The following is a 6,980-nucleotide window of genomic DNA, read 5'->3' on the forward strand; positions in this document are numbered from 1 at the left end:
TATTGTAATAAATTATTTAGATTTACATTTGTGTTATCTGATGGCACTGATGGCACTATCTTTTCAGATGTTTACATACAACTCAATGTAATGGAAATGTAAATCTAAATGCCCTGTTTAAAGAGGGTAGAGACAAGTTATAGTTACTGAGGAGAGAAATTAACAATTCACAAGGACCTGTCATATTATTTAAAGTAATTGCATTCTATTAAGTAATGGCAAGAAATGTATCTAGAGGCAATTAAGGTGAACTAGTCGATCTTTTACTTTAAAATTCTAAATTTAGAATTCTCTATGCTTTGAAATAGGAAACCTATTAAACTTTGTTTATTCTGTTTTACAGAGTATACCTGTTATAGGGAAATACTGAAAAACTATATTTCAGGCCCAGCACAGTGGCTCTGGCCTATAATCCCAGCACATTTGGAGGCTGAGGTGGGTGGATCACTTGAGGTCAGGAGTTTGATACCAGCCTGGCCAATATGGGTGAAACCCCATATCCACTAAAAATACACAAAAATTAGCAGTGTGTGCTGGTGCGTGTCTGTAGTCCCAGCTACTCGGGAGGCTGAGGCAGGAGAATTGCTTGAACCTGGGAGGCAGAGGTTGCAGTGAACTGAGATCACGCCACTGTGCTCCAGCCTGGGCAACAGAGCAAGACTCTGTCTAAAAAAAAACAACAAAAAAAAACAAAAACCAAAAAACAAAAACTATATTTCAGTTACTGTGAGAGCACTCCAGTTTTGTTTCACAAATAATGAAAAGTTGCAAGCCAGACAGAAGTGGTTGCTGCAGTATTATAAATTTCTGCTTCCAGTTTTTCTTTAATTTTGCCACATTTCCTTTCATAGATGGAAGTCTTCTTCTATTTGTAGATATATTTTGTAACTCCAGGATAAAGTGATTTATATAAATTCACCTTAGTTTTGTGAATTTTACAGGAACATGCATTTTTATTGTTTGTTTTTTGAGACAGGGTCTTACTCTGTTGCCCAGGCTGGAGTGCAGTGGCATTATTATATCTCACTGCAGCCTGGAACTCCTGGGTTTAAGCAATCCTCCTGCCTCAGCCTCCCAAGTAGCTAGGACTACAGAAGTGTGCCCCCATGCCCAACTAGTTTTTTAATATTTTTGTAGAGATGAGGTATCACTATGTTGCCCAGGGTGGTCTTGAACTCCTGGCTTCGGGCAATCCTTCCACTGAAGCATCCTAAAGTTCTGGGATTATAGGGATGTGAGCCACCATGACCTACCAGAGCATGCATTCTTTTTTTTTTTTTTAATGGTTTTATTTCACTGATTTTCTTTAAAGCAATGTTTAGAAACAAGTTGGCTATAGGAAGGTAGAATATAAGTGTGATTATGGGGAGAATTTAGAGATACATAATTGAGTTTGAATGCCAGCTTTATCAATTATTATTTATGTTACTTTGGACACATTATAGACTTTCCTTGAAACTCAGTTATCTTTTTAGTCCTCCTGTTCATTATGGAAATTAGGAGTCCTAAGCTAATCTTCAGGTTGCATAAGAAACTGATAATCTAATGAGAAGGTATTATGTGTGATTTACTTCACGAATGACACCTTTCACAAGCTGAACTCGTCCACTGCTAGGATAGATACTAACATACAGTTTAAGATACACACTTTATTAAGCCATTCAGAAACTACCCTTGGCCATATTTTGCTATGGTTGCAAAAGAGATTATTCTCAAATATCTGAAAAAAGCATTAAAATATTCTTTTTTTTTCCAATTGTGTAAGATTGTAAGCCCAGATTTTCTTCACATACGTCCGACAAAACAATGCACAGAAACTCTTTTAATGCAGAAGCTGATATAAAAATTCCACTGCCTTCTATTAAGCTAGACATTAAATAGACTGGAAACATTAAAACTATTTTGGATTTTTTGCTTGTTTGGGAAAACATTTTTCATAAGAAAATTGCTGATAATATTATAGGTTTGATTTTGTTATTTAAAAATAAATTTTAAATTTACATTTTACTTTTTAATTTTATTTTGAAATTAGCAACTAAGTATTTCTATTTTTTCTAATTTAATTTAGACTATAATAAATATAGAAGTAAAAAAAAAAGCCCCTCGACATCCTCAATAATGTTCTAAAATTATAAATAAATCTTGGAATCAAAAAGTTTGAGGACTTTTTTTCTATTTTATTTTGTTGGTTAATTGGTCTTTTTTGGCCTACCTGGAACACTGTCAACTACCGGAGCTTTAAAATAAATGTTGATGTGTAGTAAGGCTAGTCTTTTCACTTTCTTTTTGTTCTTTATAAGTTACTTGTGGAATTGGGAAATAAGGTAAGGGAGGGAAATTTTACCATATATTTTGAATAGTAACATATTATTTGAATTTGTATTTCTATATGCATATGTATTATTTATATAATCAAATAAAAATATAGAAATGTTTAATAAATACAACTTAATGCCACAAGATTGAATTAATTCTAAAATTGTTATAGCCTAAATCATTTAAAAGTTCAAATTTCAGACCCATTAAAACATCAACAGTAGAATTTGGTCATGATTCATGAAAAGAAAATGAAGCAGCCACAAATCATAAGAATCCAAAAAAAGCCATTCCTCATAATTAGCAATGTGTATCTTTTTCCTTTACCACTCTGTCTAGGTGGATTCTTTCCAAAGAATTGTCTCTTTAATTAATTTTCTCTATTATTTTTCTGCTTTTAATTTTACTTCTTTTTTTTTTTTTTTTGTGAGATTGAGCCTCACTCTGTCACTCAGGTTGGTGCAATCCAGGCTCACTGCAACCTCTGCCTCCTGGGTTCAAGCAATTCTCCTGCCTTAGCCTGCTGAGTGGCTGGGATTACAGGCACCAGTCACTACGCCTGGCTAATTTTTTTTTTTTTTTTTTTTTTTTTTTTGTATTTTTAGTAGAGAGCGGGTTTCACCATGTTGGCTTGGCTGGTCTCGCATTCCTGACCTCAGGTCATCTACCCGCCTTGGCCTCTCAAAGTGCAGGGATTGCAGGCGTGAGCCACTGTTCCCAGCCTGATTTCAATTATATTATTTTCTGCTTTGATCTTATTCCCTTTGCCTGCTTGCTTAAAGTTTATGTTCTTTCTTTTTTTTAGATTATGGAGGTAAGAGCTTAAATTATTGATCTGAGACTTTTCATTTTTTTCTAATATATGAATTTTGTTCTAACTATCTTCTAGATCCTGCTTCAGTTGTGTCCAAATTATTATTATTATTATTATTATTTTTGAGACGGAGTCTCGCTCTGTCGCCCAGGCTGGACTGCGGACTGCAGTGGCGCAATCTCGGCTCACTGCAAGCTCCGCTTCCCGGGTTCACGCCATTCTCTTGCCTCAGCCTCCCGAGTAGCTGGGACTACAGGCGCCCGCCACCGCGCCTGGCTAATTTTTTGTATTTTTAGTAGAGACGGGGTTTCACCTTGTTAGCCAGGATGGTCTTGATCTCCTGACCTCATGATCCACCCGCCTCGGCCTCCCAAAGTGCTGGGATTACAGGCGTGAGCCACCGCGCCCGGCCAATTATTTTTTAACGTATAGATTACAGGCTGAGTATCACTTATCCAAAATGCTTGGGACGAGAAGTGTTTCAGATTTCAGAGATTTTCAGATTTTGTAATATTTGCATATACATAATGAGATATCTTGGGGATAGTACCCAAGTCTCAGCACAAAATTCATTTATGTTTCATATGCATCTTACAGACATAGACTTAAAGTAATTTTATACAACATTTAAAAATAATTTTGTGTATGAAACAATTTTAACTGTGACCAGTCACATGAGGTCAAGTGTGAAATTTTCGACTTGTTGTGTCATGCTGACTTTCAAAAAGTTTCAGCTTTTAAAGTGTTTCAGATTTTATATTTTCAGATTAGGGATTTTCATGCTTTATTTATAATTTTGCTTTTCAGTTACCAGGAGTTTGGAGAGTTTCCTCTTATCTTTATGTTATTATTAGTTTGCTTAACTTGTGGTCAGAGAACATGCTCTATATTACTTTAATTATTTAAAATTTTTTGAAATTTGTTTTATGGCCTCCGATAGGTCTATTTTGGTAAATGTGTTACAAGCATATGAAATGAGCATATGTTCTGCTGCTGTTGGAGTGTCCTATACATGTTGATTAGATTCAATTGGTTGATGGTGCTATTGTATTCTGTATTTCTGATGACTTTTTATCAAGCTGTTCTATCAATTGTTAAGAGAAGGAAGTTAGTTTATGTAGAGTCAGTTTAGTATAATTGTGAACCTGCCTTTTCTCTCAGTTCTGTCAGCTTTTGTTTCAAATATTTTGAAGAGCTGTATTCTAGTGCACACATTAATCTCTTGATAAACACTTTTTTTTCTTTTAATTCTGAGACAGAATCTTGCTCTGTCACCCAGGCTGGAGTGTGGTGCAATCTTGGCTCACAGCAACCTTCACCTCCCAGGTACCAGTGATTCTCCTGCCTCAGCCTCCTGGGTAGCTGGGATTACCCGCACACACTACTACATCTTGCTAATTTTTGCATTTTTAGTAGAATTGGGGTTTCACCATGTTGGCCAGGCTGGTCTCAAACTCCTGACCTCAGGCGATCTGCCCGCCTTGGCCTCCCAAAGTGCTGGGATTACAGGTGTGAGCCACTGTGTCTGGCCAATAAACACGTTGTTTTTATAAGCCCTTTTATCATAGGCAATATTCTTCTTTGCCTCCAGTAATTTTCTTTACTCTGAATTCTGCTTTATATATTATTAATATAGATTCTTTTCCTTTTGATTAATGTTTGCTTGATATATCTTTTCCCATCATTTTACTTTTAAGCTACCTATACTGTTATATTTGAAGTAAATTTCTTGTAGATAGTGTAGAGTTGGGTGATATTTTTAAATACACTGATGATTCCCACATTTTCAGTAGTGCATTTATATGACTCATATATAATGTAATTATTATGTTAAGCCTAAGTCTGCTATTTTAAATTAATTTTAATTTTATATTTGTTTATTTATAAGGTTTTTTTAGTGTATTTCTTTGTATAGCTTGTTTATTGGTGGATCTAGATATTAAACATATACATTATCGCACTATACTGTTATTGGCATATCTTCAATTTAAGTAAAGTGTAAAAATGTTATCTCTTTTTGTATCCCTTTGTCCTCTCTGGGCTATAAAATAATTGTCAAATATTTTTGCTACATAAATTAGAACTATTTTAGACAATTTTTAAAATTTTTGCTTTAACCTGTAATCCCAGCTACTTGGGAGGCTGAGGCAGAACTGCTTGAACCTGGGAGGTGGAGGTTGCAGTGAGCTGAGATTGTGCCTCTGCACTCCAGCCTGGGTGACAGTGAGACTCTGTCTCAAAAAAAAAACAAAAAACAAAAAACAAAAAACAAAAAAACATCTAATGTACTCTATAGACCTCAAGAGGTTTACTTTAACACAGTTTTCTTATCATGTTCTGTTTTCCTTACTGATGTTCAAAGTTGTCTTCTCTTTAACTTATTTTTTGTTTAATTTCCTTTGGCAATTCTTTTGGGATAATTCTGTTGGTGATAAATTATCTTAGGTTTTTTTCTTCTTTTTTCTTTTCCTAAAAAATATTTTGCTTTCCCCTTTGTTTCAGAAGACTGTTTTTGTTTGGTGTATGTTTTGGGGTTGATATTTCTTTTCATTAAATGCTTGAAATATATTCCACTTTTTTCTGGCATTCATAGTTTCGGATGGGAAGTCAGCCATCACTCACATTGTTTTTTCTCTATTTTGTCTATCATTTTACATATCTTTATTTTCAGCTATTCAATTATGAGGCATCTTGGTTTGGATTATCTTTGGGTTTGGTATTCACTCATTTTATTGAATATGTTGCTTTATTTGCTTTGCCAAATATGGAAACTTTTCATTTACTGTATCTCGAAGTACTTTTAAAGCTCCACCATCTTTCTCTTCTGCTTCTGTACTTCAATGACATACATTATCAATCTTTTGTTATAGTCCTAGAGTTCTTTGAGCCTCTGTTCATTTTGTTCTCAGTCTGTTTTCTCTCTGTTATTCTGGTTGGGTAATGTCTACTGCTCTATTTTCTGTTTATTTTTTTATTTTTTAATTTTTTCTTACATCACCTGTATTCTGCCCTTGAACCCATCCACCAAACATTTTATTCTTTAAAATAGTTTTGGGTTCTAAAATTTTTATTTAATCTTTCTTTATATCTTTCATTGCTTTACCCAGACTTTCCAATTCTTTGCTGAAGCTTCCCTCCCCACCCCAAATCTGTTCATAATTATTTGCTGAAGCATTATTTTTTTTACCGTGACTACTTTAAAAACTTTGAGAGATAATTCTAACATCTCTATCATCTTGGTGTTTCATGTGTTGATTGTCCTTTTACATTGATTTTGAGACCATCTTATTCTTGGTCCAATAAGTAATTTTTGATTGCAGCATAGAGATTTGTGTATTATGTTCTGGAACTCTGGGTCTTAATTAAACCTTCTTTTGTAGCTGACCTTCACTGATATCTCACTTCAACAGGAGATTGGAAATGCCACGTTAATTCCTGCTAGATAGAGATAGAAGCCCAGTTTCCTCACTAGGCTGCCACTGATTCTTAGATATGGGGCTCCTTATTACTGCTGGGTAGAGATTGGAGACTATCTCTCATTTAGTATCCACTGACACTATGTAGAGTGTGCAGCCATTACAACTGGGCAATGGTTGAATAACTTAACTCTAAATTAGACCTCCTTTGATATCACCCCTCAGAGGAGGGATGGAAAGCCTCATTATGACTGGCTGATGGTGGGATTTCAAGATCCATGCATGGTTTTTAGTGACGCCACTGATGGTGGCCTTGTTATTGACTGAAGGAGATAAAAGTCCAGACTTCCTACTTTATCTTCTTTGACAGTGCCCCAGTGAGTTGTTCAAGTATCTCATTACAGTTTAGTAAGGGTAAATATGTAGGTTCCCTG

Source organism: Homo sapiens, chromosome 6, assembly GCF_000001405.40.
Source record: "Homo sapiens chromosome 6, GRCh38.p14 Primary Assembly".
In the NCBI taxonomy this organism is placed as follows: Eukaryota; Metazoa; Chordata; class Mammalia; order Primates; family Hominidae; genus Homo; species Homo sapiens.